The 23752-nt window shown below is 39.9% G+C and overlaps 1 protein-coding gene across 21 annotated transcripts in view; it reads right to left on the bottom strand.

Annotated features, from left to right (window-relative positions):
- Nucleotides 1-23752, bottom strand: part of KDM4C (lysine demethylase 4C) — a 454786-nt gene that overhangs the window by 342963 nt on the left and 88071 nt on the right. For 18 of the 21 annotated variants that reach the window (NR_148680.3, NR_148679.3, NR_148677.3 and 15 more), the window contains one exon: nucleotides 17941-18055. Coding sequence is in view for 9 of the 21 variants with exons in the window: in NM_001146696.2 (NP_001140168.1) it covers nucleotides 17941-18055 (115 nt within the window). In the remaining 12 variants the exon portion in view is untranslated. Of the gene's footprint in view, nucleotides 1-7302; nucleotides 7379-17536; nucleotides 18056-23752 lie in introns of those variants that run through there. The other 3 variants (XM_047423028.1, XM_047423027.1, NM_001304341.4) reach the window with 3 other exon arrangements.

Genomic DNA, 23752 nt, shown 5'->3' with positions numbered 1-23752 from the left:
TGGGAGGCCGAGGCGGGTGGATTACGTGGTCAGGAGATCGAGACCATCCTGGCTAACATGGTGAAACCCCATCTCTACTAAAAATACAAAAAATTAGCTGGGCATGGTGGCGGGCGCCTGTAGTCCCAGCTACTCGGGAGGCTGAGGCAGGAGAATGGCGTGAACCCAGGAGGCGGAGCTTGCAGTGAGCTGAGATTGCACCACTGCACTCCAGCCTGGGTGACAGAGCGAGACTCCACCTCAAAAAAAAAAAAAAAGAAAAAAAAGAAAAAGAATAATCTATACTACTTTATTCATATTTTCTAGACTATTAAGCCCCTTGACAAATTCAACTTTTTTTTTTTTTGAGACGGAGTCTCACTCTGTCGCCCAGGCTGGAGTGCAGTGGCGCAATCTCAGCTCACTGCAAGCTCCGCCTCCCGGGTTCACACCATTCTCCTGCCTCAGCCTCCCGAGTAGCTGGGACTACAGGCTCCCACCACCACGCCCGGCTAATTTTTTGTATTTTTTTAGGAGAGACGGGGTTTCACCGTGTTAGCCAGGATGCTCTCGATCTCCTGACCTTGTGATCCACCCGCCTCAGACTCCCAGAGTGCTGGGATTACAGGCATGACCACCGCACCCAGCCGACAAATTCAACTATTTAAACTGTATATAATACAGTATAACACAGCATCTCAAAGTCATCATGTCTTATAATAAGCTTTTATGGCAGAGACTGCCTAAGTACTCAGGATCTAGTTTCACCTTCCTTACTAATGGACCTCATTTAATTGAAAGAGCAATATAGCTGAATGAAAACTGCATTTCCAGCTTCTCTTGCAGCTAAGGATGGTCACAGTACAGGGTTCTTTCTGGCCAACGAAAGGTCAGCGGTCATCACTGAGTAGAGCTTCCAGAATAGAGCTTTGAAGGACTACCTCAGCAGGCACAAGCCCTTTGTGCCCTTCACTCTTCCTCCCTCTTCCTTCCATGAGACATTCAGACATGATTATTAGGCTCAGGCATCTACCAGGAAAACATGAGGGTAAAGATCTCATCATAGGCCGGGTGCGCTGGCTTACACCTGTAATCCCAGCACTTTAGAGGCCGAGTTGGCTGGATTACCTGAGGTCAGCAGTTCGAGACCAGCCTGGCCAACATGGTGAAACCCCATCTCTACTAAAAATACAAAAATTAGCTGGGCGTGGTGGCACACACCTGTAATCCCAGTTACTGGGAAGGCTATGGCAGGAGAATTACTTGATCCAGGGAGACGGAGGTTGCAGTGAGCCTGGCCGACAGAGTGAGGCTCTGTCTCAAAAAAAATAAATAAAAATAAAAAAGATCTCATCATAAAGAAAGCAGAAGAATTGGGAGGAGTATGGGTCTATAATGACATCATGGAACCAACACACTGGCCCCAGGCTACTTACCTCAAATTTTTACATGAAAGAAAACTAAATGCCCAATTTGTTTCAGCCACTGATTCTGAGGTCTTTATTACTGGCAGCAGAATATTGTCTGACTGATATATTTCTTCGATAGTAAAATCCACAGATCCCCGCTTCCCCCACTGACTAGTGGATTAAAATAAGAAAAAAAATAACAGAGTCTATGACACTAACGTGATCTAACAAAAGGAAAAGTGAGTACCACTTAATTCTTGAATGGTAGCAAAGTATGGGCTGTACTTGAGCCTTTTCTTAACCACTAATACCTGGAAAATCCCAGTTTAAATAAAGAATATACCTGTTCTTCCCAATTCCTCTATACCACTCTGTGATTTTTCCTTCAGTTTCTCCCAGTTGTTGGTTTTTTCCACCTTGCTTCATTTTCTCTACAGCTGCTATTTCTTAAAGCAATGTCAGATTTAACACACTCTCATAACACATGGCAGAGGGCTGGTGCTACTGAGTTTCCCTTTTATTCTTCATAAAGAAAAACAGCCTAAGGTACTTCCAGTGGCCTCATTTTCATTCTTCATTCTTCACAGAATAAAATTCTGGATCATACACATAGGCACATTATTCCTTCAATGGAAAAGGAAAACTAACAATAATTCTCCTAAATATTAAACTATACTTCATCATTATAGGACATTTGGAAAGTAAACTTTAAAATATCAAATATATAAATCTGCAAAGAAGAGAAAACCATTTTATCATTTTAGTGACATCTTTCTCTTAAAAACTTGTTGTAACTAGCATATATTTAGAATCAGACTCCTGGCATTCATGACTCTAACTCTGCACCAGTGACCCCCCAAAAGCCCACTGACAGCTGGTGACTTATTTTGAAGAAACCATACTAGGATGCTGGGGTGTGGGAAGCAGCTCCACGACCTCCCTCATCTCAGCCAGACCTGCTGCTCTCTACCCTTGGGCAAGTGAATGAATTATGAGGGAGATTGTAAGCAATACTGGAAATCCAGAGTGGGCATTCCAAAATCTTGGAGATATATCTATACACGGTTATCCTGGTTTCCTCACATACCACTGTGTTACAAACATTTTCTTAACATTTTATTGTACATATTACTTCATGGCTTTAACAATTTGTATCCGTATTTCTCCTTTGTAACATGTAAGTTGTTTTACATTTTTTGCTGTAATAAGGAAAACACTAAAAAAAATTTTGGTACAGAAACACTGCCCCATATTTTTGATCATCTGTAAAACAGATTCTAGGAGAAGTTGTAGATGAATGGTTCCTTTCTGACAAGAATTACTTGAATCTTTCTACTCTATTTATAAATTCACCCCAGAAAAAAAACACAGGCTTTTATATCTTACAAAATTATAATAAAGATGAAATCTAGATTATCTTTATATTCCTTTTTGTGAAATGGAAAACAGCAGGCCCAAAGCAGGAACTGGGCTTCCAATAGATATACCTTATCAAAGCCCTTCTGTAAACCTGCAGGCAAGGCTGGGTTGCAGGGGAAATGCCCTTCTGACCAGCAGAGGCCTCAACAGACACCAATCCAAGACAAGAAGAGCTCCAGAGTATACACAGTGTTCAAGCTCTAACCATCCTTCCTGGTGACTGTCTGAAAGAGTAGAGACAGAATAGGAAAGGGGGGTCTCCCAGCTCTGCCACTAAGTAGGAGTCATCTAGGATAAACCCTAACATTCAGTCTGAGCTTCCTTATCTATCAATGTGTTGACTATTATACCAGATGATCTCCAAAGTTTTTTCCAGCTGAAATTGTCAATGACTTTATGTTCACCAGCCAAATTCAGCACTAAAACTCTCACTTTTCACCTCTGAGTTTCATGTTCTTTCTCCTTTAGTAATTCTCACTGAATTCTCACTGCTGTGTCCCTAATACTTTCCCACAGAAATCTGCCCCTCTAGGCATGCCAATCATCCAGAACTCACAAAACAGGCTCAGCTTCCTCATCCCTCACATTGCTCACCATGCCTAATGTCCATAATGCCCTGGATTCTCAGTACAGTCTTGTGGACTTTGCCAGTGCCCAGTAATCTTCACCTCTTTACACTCCTACTGTGTGTAGTATTCATGCCATCCACCAGGCTTCTGCCTGTATAGTGTGTGTTGTTTATCCCTCAGGGAAACCATTCATGACTCTCAAGCTAACCAGTAAGCTCCTTGCACTGGCCAACACCCACCATTGCTGACACGTCTCACAATCATCGATCACTCAGAGTGATTCTCCACACATATTTGTTGATTTATCAATTTACCAGGTTATTAAACATTTAAGTATGTTTCAACTGTGAAGTTTAACAGTTGAGAGGTAAAGAGAAGAGTGAAAAGAGAAACGGCCAATTCTACTCACATCCTATCCAACCCAATTTTTTTTTTCTTGAGACGGAGTTTCGATCTTGTTGCCCAGGCTGGAGTGCAATGGCGCCATCTCGGCTCATGCCAACCTCTACCTCCCAGGTTCAAACAATTCTCCTGCCTCAGCCTCCTGAGTAGCTGGGATTACAGGCATGTGTCACCACGCCCGGCTAATTTTATATTTTTTAGTAGAGACGAGGTTTCTCCACTTTGGCCAGGTTGGTCTCGAACTCCCAACCTCAGGTGATCCACCCACCTCAGCCTCCCAAAGTACTGGGATTACAGGCGTGAGCCACCGCACCTGGCCCCACCCCAAATTTTTAAACTATGTCTGACAGAAGATCAGACGGTCTCTACGTGAACATTCCAAGGTCAGTATTTCCTTACCTCAAGTGGCAGCCCAACCTGCTCTGGGGCAGATGTATTCCTTAGAAACTTATTCCAGAGATGGCCGGGCACGGTGGCTCACACCTGTAATCCCAGCACTTTGGGAGGCCGAGGCAGGCAGATCACAAGGTCAGGAGATTGAGACCAGCCTGTCTGACATGGTGAAACCCCGTCTCTACTAAAAATACAAAAAATTAGCCGGGCGTTGTGGTGGGCTCCTGTAGTCCCAGCTATTCGGGAGGCTGAGACAGGAGAATGGCCTGAACCTGGGAGGCGGAGCTTGCAGTGAGCTGAGATCACGCCACTGCACTCCAGCCTGGGCGACAGTGCGAGGCTCCGTCTCAAAAAAAAAAAGAAACTTATTCCAGAGACAGACTGAATTTTCCCACAGTGATCCCACCTAACCTTCCTACTTGCACCATTCTCAGGGGCAACAACCACATGGGCTTTAACTGCTCTTCCAACAATTCCTGCACCATCCCAGCTGTGCTGCTCTGGCAACACCCCTCTGAAAACACAGCTTCTAGAACTAACGGAAACATTCTGGATGCAATGTGACCAATAAAGCTGTCCATCACCTCCCCTGTCTGGATGATAACTTTTGGGGTCATGCAAGCTGACCTGCTTCACTAAAGAGCAGCCATAACATGCTAGCAGATAAATGAGCTGTGATTACCTAGAAGCCTTATTTCACAGAACTAAAACCTGAAAGTCACAATCCTACAAGCCAATAGCTCTCTCTCTGCGTCAAAACCTGTCTAGGATGACATCTTTGCCTTGGATGTGAAATTTAGGCAGTTAGTGTTCTGGCTTTGAACGATTTGTTATTTCAAAGTAAATGATATCCTGACATGATAAAAATAAAAAATGGAAAGGAACTCTCCTGGTGACTCAAACCGTTTAAACTGTTTTACCTCATTTGGAAACCCACAGCCTCAAATAAATTTGCTGTCCAAGAGCACCATCTGCTGGATGAAGGTATTTAAGCTACCCCATTGAGGGAGAGGGAAAAAAAGTCTATAGGTTAAATGCCACTATGTCTAACACCTTGGTGTGAAAAGATTCCCATGCCTCACCAACAGGTTTCTTATAAAGGAGCTCTTGATTTGACAAAATTCTAATACAAGAGAAATCTGGAACTGACAAAAATTCACTATCATTGAATTTAGTTCATCTTAAATATTGCTTATCATAAAGTAAACATTTCTGAGCTGGAAGGAACGAGAGAGAGCAGTTAATTCAATTTCTTCCCCTTGTAGATGAAGACTCTGAGAAAAACACAGAGCTTTCCTGAAAGTCACAGCTAGGAATGGCAGACATTGATTATAAACGAAAACAGGTCAAATATTCTGTGATGTTTAATAAAGTCTTCAATCTCAAGAAGCTGCAGAAGAATGGCAGAAAATGGGGCAGTGGGTGTCTGTGCAAGGTGCCACTCTCTCAGGTTAGCAGCGATCTGGCCACCCACTGTGGACTGTGCCCTGCCCCACACTGACCAACACAAGATCAGGAGCTGTCATACTCTCCCGCCTCCACCCACCCACATCCTTCATATTAGATTTATCTGCTTTCCTCTACCTGTGAAAACCATCCTGCCAATAAAAACAATAAAAATAAGATACATTTTCTTTTTTTTTTTTTTGAGATGGAGTTTCACTCTGTCGCCCAGGCTGGAGTGCAGTGGCGCGATCTCAGCTCATTGCAACCTCTACCTCCCAGGTTCAAGCGATTCTCCTGCCTCAGCTTCCCCAATAGCTGGCACTACAGGTCCCTGCCACCATGCCTGGCTAATTTTTTGTATTTTTAGTAGAGACAGGGTTTCACAATGTTGACCAGGCTGGTCTTGAACTGCTGACCTCAGGTGATCCACCCACCTTGGCCTCCCAAAGTGCTGGGATCACAGGCATAAGCCACCGCGCCCGGCCAAATAAGATAAATTTTCAATCATCTTGTTGAAGAACATCTATCATCATGGGAAAGCATTCACAATGGGTCAAACAGAAGGGGGATAAAACTATGTTCATTGTACCACAAAAATTTTTTTTATATGCAATTATGGAGCATTCATAGAGAAAAAATGGAAGGAAATATACAAAACAGTTTTGACAGCTGTTTTCTCTGAATGCCAGGATTATGAATGATTTTCATTTTCTCTATGTAATACCTTCCCATATTTTTCATATGTAATGTTTATATTAACAAAAAGGTAACTTTTACCTTAAAGTGGTGTAATTTATACTTATAGATTATCAAGAAAACTAAAAACAAAATGGAAAGAATAGGACACCAACCACCCATCCACCTAGTACGAGCATAGCAAAAAAAAAAAAACTTTTCCCCAGCTCAAGAAGAAATATATAAAACATTTATATTTTTTTGTATTAAGATTCTCCACAAGGCCAGGCACAGTAGCTCATGCCAGTAATCCCGTAACTTTGAGAGGCGGAGGCAGGAAGATCACTTGAAGCCAGGAGTTTGAGATCAGCCTGGGCAATATAGTGAAATCCCGTCTCTACAAAAACTACAAAAAATTAGCTGGGCATGGTGGCGCACACACGTAGTCCCAGCTACTCAGTAGGCTGAGGTGGAAGGATCACCTGAGCCTGGGAGGTGGAGGCTGCTGTGAGCTGTGATTGTGACACTGCACTGCAGGCTGTGCAATGGAGTGAGACCTTGTCTTAAGAGAGACAGAGAAATAAATAAAAAAAAGATTTGCCACAATATTTTTCAAACTGTTTTAAATTTTCTATCACTTTTCCATTAATAAATACCTGAAGATAACAAAAGCAATAGGCCAGCAAATTAATATTGAAGAAAAATCTTGGAGGTACAATTTAAAATATTTTCTATATTTTGAGATGCAGAGACATGAGTTCACATGCTGTCCACTTGTAAAATTTTGCCTGGTTTATAAGACAAAACACAGGACATGATGTACCCCAAAGAACTCCATGGCTTCCAGTTTGAGAATCACTGTCTCTGAAGGTGATTCGTTCTTTCAGAAACATATCAGGAATGCAGTTACCTGAAGGCCAATAAATAAAGATAGAACACAGTTACCTTGCCCTAAGATCTCTGCATCATCTATGTGCAATAGATAAGTCATCTTTTGCTATGTATCTTACCGAAGCAGTTGTCAAGGTGTTTTCCGAGGACCACAGGAAGACACGCAGACCTTGTCAGAGGGTCTGTGACATCAAAACTATTTTCAAAATTATACCAGAACATTAATTAGTATTTGCCTTTTTCACTCTCATGAGTATAGAGTTTTCCAGAAGCTATAGGACATATGACTTTATAACAGATTAAATGTAGAAGCTGATATAAAAATCCAGCTATCTTTTTTTTTTTTTTTTTTTTTTGAGACCGAGTTTCACTCTGGTTGCCCAGGCTGGAGTGCAATGGCACTATCTCAGCTCACTGCAACCTCTGCCTCTTGGGTTTGAGCAATTCTCTTGACTCTGCCTCTCGGGTAGCTGGGACTACAGGTGCATGTCACCACACCCGGCTAATTTTTTTGTATTTTTAGTAGAGATGGGGTTTCACCATGTTGGCCAGGCTGGTCTCGAACTCTTGACCTCAGGTGATCCACCCGCCTCGGCCTCCCCAAGTGCTGGGATTATGGGTGTGAGCCACCGTACCTGGCCACAATCTTCTATTGAGCTAGACATAAGAGATTTGAAAAATGTAAAATAATGTGACTCTTCCTACTAATTTTTTAATTGGGGAAATACAGTCACCTTTTCTTTTTCTGTCTGCTCCTCTCTACCCTATGGTCACCTTGTATAAAATAATGTATGTTGATATATAATGGACTGTTTTAATGAATTAAATATTTTTTAAATATTCTCTTAATTTTTTTTTTTTTTTGAGACGGAGTCTTGCGTGAGCCACCACGCCCGGCCTTAATTTCTAATACAATAAAAAACAATAGATATAACCTCCTTAAATGAAAGTTATTTGAGGTTCACAATAATTATTACAATTGTAACAGGGCCTTAAGATGAAAGTTTGAGAACTACTGTCTTGGAGTAAAAGAGTTCAGAAAAATGCACACTGGGGAAGCTCACCTGAACCCTCTTCACCCTTCTCATCCGAAGCCCTCCCCAAGCCTCTTGCTGTAACTAGACCATCTTGCTGCAGTCTGTTATCAGATCACAATATTTTTCACAGCTATTTTTCCAATGCCATGCACTCATCAGACCCTATGCTAGAGACTGGAGCTAGAGAATACATGAGAAATGACACCTGTCACCAATGAACTCAGAGTCTACTGCAGAAGAAATAGCCACGAAAAGAAATACCACAAAAACAAATACAAGTAACCTTCATCCTCTGTTATCATTTTCCAACTATTTGCTACAATAATTTTTTTACCCAATATTCACTGTCCAAATCAAAGACTCTCTATGATGGTGTCCACCAACAGAACTGTTTCAGTTGTATACAAATCTAGGTCAGAGAATATAGTCTGCAGCTAAGTTGTATCTCAGATGTTTTCCCAAAAGGATTATTTCTAGCGCCCACATTAAGTGTATTGGCATTACTGCTGTCATCTTCCCATCAGTATGAGTGAAAATGTCTCCTGAAAAAGTAGAAAAACCCGAGGAGAAAGTAAGTGAGCATATGAGACCTACAGAAGCCTACGAAGAGTTGGAAGTGATGGTGCGTACTGAAGGAAGGAGGCCCATCAGATATTAACTTGACATGTCCCAATCTCTTCAACATAGCAGAGTTGCTCCTGAAGAGCTTCACCATGTGACTCAAGATTTTGAAAAACTAGAGAAATTCCTTTTGCAGTGGACTCATAGCCATTCTCAGGGTAGGAGACCAATGATTATCTGGCTGGTACAGGAGAGGGTAGGGGACACCTTTGGAGATCTGGAGGCAGCAGCAACGAAGGAGCAACGTGATTCAGTGAAGGAGCTAAGTTTCAAAGCAAGTGCAAAATGGTCTGAAACATCCAACAACAGTGTGAGATAGCAGAAGTTGAAGGTGACAGGTAGGGCACCATCCCCTCACAGTGAAGTGTGGCTACCTTCCTCCAGTGACCTGCAGAAAACTATCATCAAAGATGGTTACACACACAGGAAATTCTCAGTCTTTATGAAATGCTATCCCATAGGTTTATTACAGAATCCAAAGGCTAAATTGCTCCATGGGTACTCTGACAGTGAGGATAAGCTACCCCCTTTTGGTGCAAAACATTGGTTCCAAGGGGCCACTGAAGACTGACCTGCATGTTATGCTATGAGGCATTTAAACTGGAAAGCCAGCACGATGGAGAATAGAGATGAGGATGAGAGGAGGAGCTATGTGTCACCGCTCAGCAAAGGGAAAATCTTGCAAAGACGACTTGAATACACACAATACACTGGAAGGTCCATCTAGGGTTATAGATTATGAAGGTAATAGCATGAGCAAAACATGTAGAACTTCATTTTATACCTCTATTTAATGAAGCATTACCACGAGAAGAATCATCATTATGCTACACAATAGGTATTGCTAGAAATGCAGCCCAAAATAGGACAGAACACAAACCTGATGATCCTTTGTCACTGTACTAACATAGGTAATGCTGATGTCTATTCTTAGCTCTCACACACAGAAAAAAAGAGATGTAGCTTTGCCTTCAAAGGTCGATGCAGGTGTACATGGCTACTGGCCATCTCAGCAATGTTATACCTTCTGTCTTTTCTACAGACATCTGCTGACTTGCAGGTCCTTTAGCCAAATCTTATTTTCTCTCAGTCCCTCTTTTATCTTTATCTTTGTGTGTTTGTTTTGTTTCCCGAAGAAACTCCTGTGCTGCGTCTAACAGAAGGCTGAGTATTTTAATGTAAAGGCTTGTTAACAAAGGCTAATTAAAACTTCATCGGCAGACCAGCCCTTAGTGAAACATAACAAAAAAAAATCCAGATCTTAAGTTCCTTATGTGTATGTACTGTTTCCAAAGAATCATCTAGGACTTACTCAGGACCAAAGATGGCTCTATTTCTAAGATCTTGTTTTAACTACAGAAGGTTCCTGAAATTACCAAACACTCCAATTTCTTTCTTGCAATGAATCAATGTAGTCAATTATATTAATCTCATCCTCCTGAGAACATTCCAATTTTATTTATATCCCATCTATCTCAAAAAGGATTTGTACAGTCTTCCCCAAGAACAAATAATTATCCTCCATATAAGGGGCTGACAAACATTTTCTGCAAAGAAACAGTAAATATATTAGGCTTTGAAGGCCATATAATCTGTCACAACTAAAGCACCTCTGCCACGGTAGTGCACAAATATATAATATGCAAATGAAAAAGACTGGGCTCCAAGAAAGCTTTATTACAAAAACCAGCAAAAGGCAGAACTTGACAGCCAAACCCTGCTCTTCAATATATACCCAAAGGCTGGATTCGCCCCATGCCTTTGAGAGTCTTGGTTTTTTGGTTTTAAAAATAATAACTTGCTTAAGTTGTGTTACTGTTGCCATAGGTTACTGTCCATGGTGTTCAGATTTTTTAGTATAACCTAAGGAAATCAAGCTCTGAAAGCAGCAGCAGAATAAAAGAGGGGCCAGCCGGGCACAGCAGCTCACGCCTATAATCCCAGCACTTTGGGAGGCCAAGACAGGCAGATCACTTGAGGCCAGGAGTTAGAAACCAGTCTGGCCAACATGGCGAATCACGGTCTCTGCTAAAAATACAAAAATTAGACAGGTGTGGTGGCATGCACCTGTAATCCCAGCTACTCGGGAGGCTAAGGCAGGAGAACTGCTTGAACCCGGGGGTGAAGGTTGAGACCGCGCCACTGCACTCCACCCTGTATGACAGAGCATACTCCATCTCAAAAAAAAAAAGAATGAAAGAGAGGCTAAGACCTGACAAAGGGCTAATATCCAGAATCTACAAAGAACTCAAACAAATTTACAAGGAAAAAACAAACAACCCCATCAAAAAGTGGGCAAAGGATATGAACAGGCGCTTCTCAAAAGAAGACATCTATGCAGCCAACAGACACAAGAAAAAATGCTCATCATCACTGGTCATCAGAAAAATGCAAATCAAAACCACAATGAGATACCATCTCACACCAGTTAGAATGGTGATCATTAAAAAGTCAGGAAACAACAGATGCTGGAGAGGATGTGGAAAAATAGGAACGCTTTTACACTGTTGGTGGGAGCGTAAATTAGTTCAACCACTGTGGAAGACAGTGTGGTGATTCCTCAAGGATCTAGAACTAGAATTATCATTTGACCCAGCCATCTCATTACTGGGTATATACCCAAAGGATTATAAATCATGCTACTATAAAGACACATGCACACATATGTTTACTGCTGCACTATTCACAACAGCAAAGACTTGGAACCAACCCAAATGTCCATCAATGATAGACTGGATTAAGAAAATGTGGCACATATACACCATGGAATACTATGTAGCCATAAAAAAGGATGAGTTCATGTCCTTTGCAGGGACATGGATGGAGCTATAAACCATCATTACCAGCAAACTATCACAAGGACAGAAAACCAAACAATGCATGTTCTTACTCATAGGTGGGAATTGAACAATGAGATCACTTGGACACAGGGCAGGGAACATCACACACTGGGGCCTGTCGGGGGTTGGGGGGCTGGGGGAGGGATAGCATTAGGAGAAATATCTACTGTGAATGATGAGTTGATGGGTGCAGCAAACCAACATGGCACATGTATACCTATGTATCAAACCTGCACGTTGCACATGTATCCTAGAACTTGAAGTATTATCAAAAAAAAAAAAAAAAAAAAGAGAGAGAGAGAGAGATCAAGACACAAGCCAGGGGATTTCCAGGCCCTCTCCCTCTTCTGTCGAGGATGACTATTCTGATCTAGTCCTTTAAAAACACCCTCACCCCTAATTCCTATGCTATATCCCAGCTGGATGAAAACTACCATGGCACCTTCTCTGCTCCTTAAAAGATTTGCCTGGGGCTAAGAGACAAAATTCAGACTCTGGAACAAAGCAGGTGGGGCTGCTGTGGGGCCATGGGTCAGATCCACGACCCAGGACCACAGCCCTGTCTCAGGCCCCTCTCCCATATCCCACAGCTGCTATTCGAGTTTTTCCTCACCCTCCTATGCTCCTGCTCAGCAAACAACCTGCAATTTCAGCAAAAATACTGACACTGTTAGGTGTGGTCTCACCCTTCAATTTACCTAGCTCTGGTCCCACCTTTCACTCTCTCTCCTTTCACTGGAACTTAGTCATCAAAGCCAAGTTCAGATGTCGTCCCCACTCCAGAAAGTCTTACTTGAATGCAGGCCTGCTCATACTGCCTCTCCCGCAGGCTGCAAAGAGTCAAGCCCACTGCACCAACTGTCCCTCCACCCCACAAAGTCTATGAACTACTTGAGAAGCAGGATTCGTATCCATCTTTGCACCTTGCACAAATTACTTCTCTTATCTCCCCATACCCTCTCCAAGAACTCCCACCCCCACCAAAAAACGGCTACGATTTTCTTACCATTCTTTTAAGATTAAGGTAAATAGCTACCACTAGAAATTCAAGGAAAAAGGAAACTGCAATTTGATGACTCTATAATTCGTTTCAAAATAATGCCATGAACCACGAGAAACCAGTTCTTGGTACAATTTAAATACTGAACTAAAGAATTAAACAATATAAAGATAAGACAGTCAACAGCAAAACAATCCATGGGCTTTTTAAATGCACATTCATTACAATGAATTCAAACATTCCTGACAGTAAGCAATTATTACACTCACTCTACATCATGCCCTTTAATGCACTCTTTTCTTTTGTTATTCTTTGTCTACCTCAAGGCGGGTAAATACAAGTTATTTCTCATTTGTTGAATTTAGGTGTCTTGAGTGTGATTGGTTTTGTTTACCAGAAGCAGTTTACAACACTCCTCTCATGTCTTTCCTTATGCTACAAAAGCATGAAAATGTCAGTCCAACTCAGGAGCTGCTAAATGCTTCCACACAGCCTGCAGAAATTCTATAAAATACTGCCTTGTAGGTCCTACCAAAATGATACATTCCCAGCTCTAAAACCTGTAAACGATGAGGATGTTTTAAAACTGCGTGTTTACAAACCAGTGGATTTTGTTCATTGGATTTTAATAACAAAAGTTACACAAATCTGAAGTCTAAAGTCAATGTTCCCTTGAAGAAATGCCAATGAGTAAATGGCTTTCAAACACAAGCAGTAAATTGATAAGCACTGCAAACCAAAGTCCATCAACCTCATCTTTACAGTCAATGCTTATGCTATTTCACTACCAAATACATACAGCTAATTCAGGACATTTTTGTATCAATTTTTCTGAAAATGTTCCCAAACATGCTGCTTCTAACTCTTAATCATATATACAAAAATAAGGGAACAAAAAGGTTAATTATCTTAAAAGAAAAAAAACTTAAGATTGAGTTTTATTTTATTTTCAAGCACTCAGACATGCAACTTTCAGGCCAGGATCTGGATGACCCATCAGCTCAACCTTCTTCTCAGAAGCCTGAACATTTGCCAGGTTACAACGCACAGGAAGAAACTATGGAGAAAGTACAAAATATACCCATCAGCTCAGGGGCAATATCTAGTTGACAAAGACCTAGTTTTACATATTTCCACAACTATGAGACTGACTATGCATAATGACTTCTCTAATACTGGTGTGGGGGATAAGAGCGTGTCATGGCCCTTTTACTAGCCTCCCAACTTTGGAAAAGCACTTGACCCTCTCTGGGCCCCATGTTTTGTTAAGTGTAAAAGGCCAACAGTACTTAAGCTGCCTCACCCATTCCAATGGAAATCGCACAGAAGCTGGTTTAACAAGGCAAGATGCCACATTCCTTAAGGAAGCCTACTGGTAAGAGCATAAAGATACGGGACCCACACAAATGTTTTCAATATGCCCACTCCCATCTGCCCACATCCCTCACCATCAATTTCCTACATGTCCTACTTGCTGCCACACCCTTCCCAGACAATTGCTCTAAGCACTAGAACCTGCTCTTGGCCTCTCTCTGAGCCCTCACCTTTATCACACATGTGCATAACTTGCCCCTGCCTATGGGCAACATCTAATGACTTGCCCACAACAGCTAAACTTACATTTAGCTCATAAGAAATTTATTATTGCTAAAGAATAAATCAGCAAACAATACACTTGAAACTGAAACGAACAAAAATCCACCATGTAATACAAGGTACGATTTGAAATTGGTAGTCTAGATGTGGCTTGTGCTAAAAGAAACTGAAATGATCCTTCTGGAAAGCAATATTGGAAATGTTTCAAAAGTCAAAAAACTGTAAAAACCTTCTCAACTCTTTGGTGGTAAACATGAACACGCATGCAATCACAGGCATGCATATATACATACACTCACATAAAACAGAAAGACCAAAAGGAAATCATAAAAAGGATATTCCTGGGCAGGGTGCGGTGGCTCACACCTGTAATCCCAGCACTTTGGAAGGCTGAGGTAGGCAGATCACAAGGTCAGGAGATTGAGACCAACCTGGCCAAGATGGTGAAACCCCGTCTCTACTAAAAATACAAAAATTCGCTGGGCATGGTGTCACGTGCCTGTAATCCCAGCTACTTGGGAGGCTGTGGCAGGAGAATAGCTTAAACCAAGGAGTCACAGGTTGCAGTGAGCCAAGATAGCGCCACTGCACTCCAGCCTGGGCTACAGAGTGAGACTCTGTCTCAAAAAAAAAAAAAAAAAAAAAGGTTATTCCTGTTTGATAACCTTATGAGCAATTTTTTATTCTCTTCTTCACGTTTTTCTGTATTTTTCCATTTTCCTACATGTACATATACTACTTTAATAAACAATACATTCTCAACATAGAGATTACTTATACTAGTAAAAATTCAGATGCAGAATGAGGAAAGGCTATTTTTTTAACTTTTATTTTTACTATTTCAAACATATACGTATTTAAAACACCAGTCTGTCAACTAGCTTCAATTATAAATATTTTGCTGGGCTGGGCACAGTGGCTCACACCTGTAATCCCAACACTTTGGGAAGCTGAAGAGGGAGGATCGCTTGAGCCCAGGAGTTTGAGACCAGCGTGGGCAACATAGGAAGACCCTGTCTTTACAAAAAACATTTTAAAAATTAGCTAGGCATGGTGGCGCCTGCAGGTAGTCCCAGCTACATAGGAGGTGGAGGCAGGAAGACTGCTTGAACCCAGGAGGTCAAGGCTGCAGTGAGCCGTGATCATGCCATTGCATGCCAACCTGGGTGACAGAACAAGACTGTCTCAAAAAAAAAAAAAGTGGGGGGGGGGGCAGGGGGAGGGGCCAATCTTCTTTCATCTATATCCATTCAACTTTATTTTCTTAAGTAACTGAAAAACAAATCCCAACCCTCGTGTTATTTCAATCATATATCCTTCAATATGCATCTTTAATTGATAAATTAAGAAAATTACATAGCCATCATTCCATCCAATATGACAATTCTACAATATCATATATCTTCAAAAATAAGAATCGTCTTTGAAATAAGTGTTCAGCAATTAAAAATTCATATTTGAAATTGTGCTACTACCTCATACGCAGGATATATAAAGAAGTATAAACCAGTAAGAATCACTAAAACCACAGAAAAGGGAACTTAAGCCAAAAAAAAAAGAAAAAGAAAAGCATGACAAAAAAGAAGTGTATAAGAGACTTCACTAAAGGGGAAATCCAAACATTCAGTGAACATAAGGGGAAAAAATCATAATGCAACTTAAAACCAAAAGATACGACTACACACACCAACAGAGTGGCTAAAATTAAAGAAATGACAATATCGAGTGTTAGGGAGGATGTGGGGCAAAGGAAACTTGAAAACATTGCTATAGGAAGTGTAAGCTGGAAAAAATGTTTTCTTCTAAAGCTAACCATGTATATATAAGGTATATAAGAAGGTATAAGGTATGAAGTATAAGAAGCCAGACATAAAAGAATGCACACTGAATGATTCTAGTTATATAAAATTCAGAAACAGGCCACACTGAGCTGTACTGTTAAACAAAAGAAGAAAATGATTACCTTCAAGTCAGAAGATCTAGTTACCTTTGGAGGAAAAGGGGAGCCTATAGTAGGTAATAGGGCAGGTAAGGGAATTCTACGGTGCTGGTAATGTTTTCCTCAGTGTCAGAAATGGTACACAGGTGTTCACTTTACAATAATTCATAAAGCTCTAGGTTTATGTTCTATGCACTTTCTAGCTTGTTTTATATTTCAAAATAAAAAAGGTTTTAAAATAATATAATAATGGAATTAAGGCAAGGATTATGAATGAATGCCATAGATGCCAAATCCACTGAATGAAAGGCTGTTGGGGACAGATAGTCAGCTAATATTTGAGTATACCCCATAGATCACTTATTAGTTACAAAGGGGAATCCTTGACTGAATCCTTAAAGGAGGGCGGGGGGACAGTTATAACATTACTGGGAAAATTTGAATATGGTCTATACACTAGATAATATTATATAAATGTTAAACTCTCTTGTCATTAAAAGATACATGCTTATATAATTCAGGGTGAACTATCGTGATGCCTGCATCATACATCAAAGACAGAAAGACAGACAGATAGAAACAGAGATAAAGAGACACAAAGAAACATTAAGCAAATGTGGCAAAATATTAACTATAGATCAAGTATCCCTTACCCATAATGCTTGGGCCCAGAGGTATTTCAGATGTCAGATTTTTCCCCATTTTGGAGTATTTGCATTATACTTACAGGTTGAGCATCCCTTCCAAAATGCTCCAAAATCCCAAACTTTCTGAGTTTCAACACGATGCTCAAAGGTCATGCTCAAAGGAAATGCTCACTGGAGCATTTAGATTTTGGATTTCTGGATGAAGGATGCTTAACCTGTACTAGTGAACCTAAGTGAATGGTATCCAGGTGTGTATTGCACTAGTTCCACCTTTCAGTAGATAAGAAATTTTTCGAAAGAAAATAATGGGCCAGGCCTGGTGGTTCACACCTCTAATCCCAGCACTTTAGGAGGCCGAGGCAGTTAGATCTCTTGAGCTCAGGAGTTCAAGACCAGCCAGGGCAATATACTGAGACCCTGTATGTTTTGAAATAAATATTTCAAGAAATAATAAATTAAAAAAGAAAATAATGAGAGAGGGCATAGAAGGTTTCAAAAGACAAAGAACTTTTAGAATTAGGGTTTTAAAATATCAGGAAAAGGCAAAAAGAATTAGAATATAACCAATGAATTACGCCACCATTAAAATGGCTAGACTGTAATAACATGTACTTTTTAAAAATATATATATATATTACAATTTGTCTGTGAAAAAAAGGACAATATAAGCCTGTTCAAATATAACATTTTTTTAATGATTGAGGGAAAGTACTGGAAAAATATATCTAAAATACTGCTTCTGCTTTAAGGTGTCAGTATGATGCATCATATTTCCTGTTTTCCAAACATTTTTATAATGTATTTTTGCTTTAAAAAGTTTTAATGTAATGAAAAGATCAGCCAGATAACCACATACCATGTTACTACTGAACAATTTCAGGTATTTGTACGATTATCTAGCTTCAGTTTGAAAAATACCAGCAGCAGAAATCCTACTGATGAATATTTCCTGTTGTCCTTTGAGGAATTATGGATCACCCAAAAGCACAACAAAAGAACACTTCTAAACTGCTTAAATGGTAACAAAACTGTCACATCCAATGATCTTTACAAAACTCACTGTAAATATGAATGTACCTCATCATATATGCTCCCATTAATATCTGCACCATAGATAGGTGCCACAAAAGTTAAGTTCTTCCAGTACTTGCGCTCCAAATCTTCGTAATCCAAGTATCTTGGAGTACAATATCTGTAAAAGGTAGATGACAAAAATGTACAAACCAGTAAGTCAGTTTTAGGGTTTTTCCCACCAAATTGATTTAAATCACTTTCTAAAACAAAATCCTACCAAAACGAAAATACTGCATGTTGTCAATTCTAACAAGTAAACATACAAACTGATTTACATAGCTATCTGAATAGTCTTAAGATTGCTGAATACTCAATATTACTTTACATTTTATTAGAAAACTACTTTCACGAAAACAACAATAGAAGCAGAAAAGCAGTTTAAAAGTCATTATTTCAGCTTTAAAGTATTTTTAAAATCTTTAATCAACTATACTATGCTAAGAAATTTTACATATTTATATAAAAATGACATAACACTTAGAGAAACACTGACAAACAATAATCTCACTAAAAATCCAAGAAAGTAAAGTTAAAATAAGATATTTTGCAGTTATTATATTGGTAAATGCTGAATATATTAATGGCAAGAAAATAATGACACCTCTTAGACAACTAGAGTGGGAATATAAGCTGGCAAAACCATTCCAGCATATAATTTTTCTAAACATATAAAAAGCTTTTTAAAAATTGACATATCTGACCCAAAATCTAAAAGTAGAAATTCACCCTAACAACAGAGAGATGTGTACAATAACAGTTGACCCAGGATGTTTGCTGCAGCATTAATTGAAAATACAAGTTTATATCCATCAACTAGTAATTAGCTAAAAAAAATACAGAATATAAAACAAGATAGCTCTTTCAAGATACTGACATCAAATTCTATCCACAGTGAATAAATCAGGTTACATAATAGTGTGTATACTATATCCTATTTACAGTTTAAAAAACCTGTAATTGTATATTAAGTCATTAGAAAGAAATGTACACCAAATTATTAATGGTTATCTCTCACATAGAAATTACAGAAAAGCACTTACTTCTCTGTATTATTAGGAATTTGAACAATAATCTCACCACATAAAAGGAATACCAATGTTTCTTCAGGAAGAAAATAAGCAAAGAAAGAAACAAATGAGAATATAATGAAGCAAAGTTAAAAAGGTATTTAGCAGTAGTAGAATCCCTATAAAGCATACTGGACATTTTAGATTGACTACAGAATAACCGACATCTACACTCACTATACTGGGGACCCCAAACTAGTTATCTGTGTAACAAGAATACCAAATAATGGAACAACTGTATTCAAAATACCAAACAACTTAATTTAACAACTGTATTTAAAACATAGAACAATTTGAATTTACCCAGAACACTAGAATATAAAGCACAGTCAAAAATAAAAAGGATGGGCATGGGATGGGCATGGTGGCTATAATCCCAGCATTTTGGGAGCCCAAAGCAGGAAGATCATTTGAGCTCAGGAGTTCAAGGTCTGCCTAGGTAGTGAGACCCTCTATTTTCTAAAGAATTAAAAATTTTTTTTTTAATGTTTTTCTTCTGTTTTGTTTTGAGACGGTCTCACTCTTGTTGCCCAGGCTGGAGTACAGCGGCACGATCTCGGCTCACTGAAACCTCCGCCTCCCAGGTTCAAGGGATTCTCCTGCCTCAGCCTCCCCAGTAGCTGGGATTACAAGCATGCACCACCATGCCTGGCTAATTTTGTATTTTTAGTAGAGACGGGGTTTCTCCATGTTGGTCAGGCTGGTCTCGAACTCCCGACCTCAGGTGATCCGCCTGCATCGGCCTCCCAACTCCTGGGATTTACAGGCGAGAGCCACCGCACCCAGCCTTAAAAATGTTTTTAATAAAAAGGATTAGCATGAAAGCACTATTAATCTGTCATCATTCCACCACTTCTGCTAGTAGGTTCCAGTAGTATCGGGAATTCCAGGCACAAGCTAAGCAAGCTAACTAAAGATCAGAGTCAGGTGACAGAGACAGGTGTACATCCCTATTTCCCGGAGAATGGGTCCCCAATCCCCAGTAGGGGTCCGCGGCCTGTTAGGAACAGGGATGCATAGGAGGTCAGTGGCAGGTGAGCATTACTGCCTGAGTTCCACCTCCTGTCAGATCAGTGGCATTAGATTCTCATAGGAGTATGAACCCTGTTGTGAACTGTGCATGTGAGGGGTCTAGGTTGCACACTCCTTATGAGAACCTAATGTCTGATGATCTGAGGTAGGACCGTTTCATCCCGAAACCATCCCACCACTCCCATCCATAGAAAAATTATCTTCCACAAAACCAGTCCCTTGCCAAAAAGGTTGGGGACCACTGCCCCAAAACACAGAATGATCAGAAAGGAGAAGATAGCAGAGATGCTGTTTATTAGGACTTCTACAGAAACCTCCAAGATTGTTGGAAACTGAAGCCCTAATCTGCTTTACACCTATACCAAGACCAATCTATCACTATGTACTCAATCAGTAACAACTTTTTTTTTTTTTTTTGAGAGTCTTGTTCTGTCACCCAGGCTGGAGTGCGGTGGCATGATCTCGGCTCAATGCAACCTCCGCCTCCTGGGTTCAAGGGATTCTCCTGCCTCAGCCTCCCGAGTAGCTGGAATTACAGGCATGTGCAGTATCAATTTTTTAAAACTCATAACTCTAAGAGAGAAAGATAAAGTTTGGTATTGTCCATTGAAGTTAAATTCTAAAATCCTTAAATATATTAAACAAATATTAATTCTAAACAAAATAAATGACTTGGCTAGTAACTGATCAGAGTCCTTCCTAATGGACTGTCCTTCCTAATGGACAATCACAGCTATTCCACAAATCCAGTGTAAATTTGCCCGATACTGATTCAACCATATCTTCTTACCCAGAACCTCTCACTCATTGCAGTACAGTTCTTAAGAGGTGAGCTCCAGGGCCAGGCTACACATGTTTAAACTCAGGCTTCCATTCATAAGCCACAAAACCCTAGACACGGGGCTGAATTTCTCTGGAACTCAGTTATTCTTCTAAAAAATAGGGATAAAAACAGGAAGCTTGTTGTGAGGGCTCCATCAGATAATTATGGAAAGCACTTGGCTCTGTGCCTAGAGGAAAGTACACATCAGTAATGTGATTCATATTACCTACCATTATAAATTTTTATATTAGAGTTATATCGGAAATCTCTAGGTTTTCTTTGGACTACATTGCATTATCAACCAAATGAGCATGTCATCGTCTCTACTGCTAAGACTGAGTACATTACAGACGGTGCACCAATGCCAGGTCAGGTGCTAAAGAAAAACAGATGAATGGAAAGATCCCAGCACTTTGGGAAGCCGAGGTGGGCGGATCAGAGGTCAGGAGTTAGAGACCAGCCTGGCCAACATGTTGAAACCCCATCTCCATTAAAATACAAAAAACTTAGCCAGGCATGGTGGCACGCACCTGTGGTCCCAGCTGCTCGGGAGGCTGAGGCAGGAGAATCACTTGAACCCAGCAGGCGGAGGTTGCAGTGAGCCGAGATCACGCCACTGCACTCCATCCTGGGCAACAGAGCGAGACTCTGTCTCAGAAAAAAAAAGACAGCCCAGCAGAAAACCTCTTGTCTCCAACAAAAATTAATCTCCTAACATGACCATTCCACAACCAGGTGATCCTGGCACAGCTCTGTGTTGACAAGTAAGAGCATTGGTTCTTGAGGCTTAGAAATCCATTTCCTTGGCATTTGAAATAAATTTCTACATGAAACTGGCAGAAGAAATACAAAAAATATGAATTTCAAAAGTTGTTTAACATTACAACAATTATAATGAAACTAGTCCAAATCAAAAGACCAATTAACTTTATTTATTTATTTATTTATTTTTTTGGAGACAGGGTCTTGCTCTTGTCACCCAGGCTCGGGGGCAATGGTGCAATCACAACTCACTGAAGCCTCAGCCTCCCAGGCTCAAGTAATCCTCCTGCCTCAGCCTCCCGAGTAGCTGGGACTACAGACACATGCCACCATGCATGGCTAATTTTTTATTTTTTGTAGAGACAGGGTCTCACTTTGTTGACCAGGCTGGTCTTGAAACTCCTGGCTCAAGCAATTCTCCAACCTCAGCCTCCCAAAGTGTTGGGACTACAAGCGTGAACCACTGTACCCAGCGTAAATTAACTTCAAAAGAAATAAAATTAAAGCTAGAAATAATTTTTCAAATAATTTCCCATAATGGTTACATTTTACAACTTAAAAAAAACCAAAAATTTTTTAAACCATCTCTAAACCCCAGAATGTCAAGAAATGTATATTCTGTTAATAAGTAAATCTTTACAATTTGCCTAAAAATTTATACCATTTTAAGTGGATTTTAGTTTTTATAACACTATTTATTCATTTGAAAAAGCACCTACCATATCCCAGATACTATACCAAGCACTGTGTACACAGTGATACACAAAACAATGTCACCTGAATGGCTATCTTCAGAAAGAGTAAATCTACAACCAAGTCAGTAGAGTAATAATTTAACAGAGATATGTATAAAATGTGTACTCAGTAAAATTATCTTGAAGTAGAAAACCGATACCATGCTGAAATAATCAAATGGGCTAGAGAGGATGATCAAAGTTTCTTTATAACAAGAGAAGAAAGAACTTCAAGGCTCAAGTCTTAATAATATTTTGAATTGCCAAGTAATACTAACAATGATTGCCTCTTAGAGTTAAAGTTATATATGGCTATATTTGAAATTTTATTTATTTTTTTCAAGACAGGGTCTCGCTCTGTCACCCAGGCTGGAGTACAACGGTGCAATCACGACTCACGGTAGCATCAACCTCCCAGGCACAAGCAATCCTCAGCCTCCTGAGTACCTGAGACTACAGGCACATACCACCTGCCTGGCTAATTTTTGTATTTATTGTAGAGACTGGATTTTGCCATGTTATCCAGCTGGTCTCGAACTCCTGGGTTCAAGCATTCCACCTACCTCGGCTTCCCAAAGTGCTGGGATTACAAGTGTGAGCCACCACAACCAGCCTATTTTTGAAATTTTAAATAAGCACATATTACTTTTGTAACTGGTAGAAATGTTTCTGACCATCCTTCAAAATCCATCTCAATAGTGCCTACAAAATGAAATTACCCATTCCTTATGAACAACCACAGAAGCCTTGTATTCCTTTGAAACCTCATAGCACTTTGTACCTTTCCTATGGCAGTTATGACAATTATCAAGAGTATTAACAATAGTTTTTAGTAAGTATCCCTTGAAATATCAAAGGAGCCAAGCAGAGTTACTACTCAATGACCTAACCTATTCAATTAACACTTTAAGAGAGACACTGGAAATGGGTACTAAAACACAGTAACAGAAAACAGTCAATAGTTTATACTTGTAAACAGGTTTAATTGCCTCTGCAATCTTGTTTCAACAGCATTGCACTTATAAAAGAATTCTGGAAGAGTCTGAAAGAAAATGCTTCCAATCTTTGTTGAAAGTTTCATGTTCTCGATTAATAAGATCTGAAAGAATAAAACTCTATTAATACCAACCCAAAAAATTCAAAAGAAATGATTCAAATTATATCAAATATAAAATTTTCAATTTCTTTGGAATAGCCAGAATGTTCCACAGTAGGAATTTAACATGCAGAAATAAGAGTCTTCAAGTAGCATCATGTGCTTACAATGTCAAATATAATTTTTTTAAAGGAAGATACCTAAATTCATTCAAAGTCTTAATCTCATTCACACCCATCCAGGGAATTTGGAAACTATGATTTTTTGTTGGTCTTTCAGGTTTTTTTATTTTGTTTTTGTA

Source organism: Homo sapiens, chromosome 9 (assembly GCF_000001405.40).
Source record: "Homo sapiens chromosome 9, GRCh38.p14 Primary Assembly".
Lineage (NCBI taxonomy): Eukaryota > Metazoa > Chordata > Mammalia > Primates > Hominidae > Homo > Homo sapiens.
This window is presented reverse-complemented; position numbering and strand designations above follow the sequence as displayed.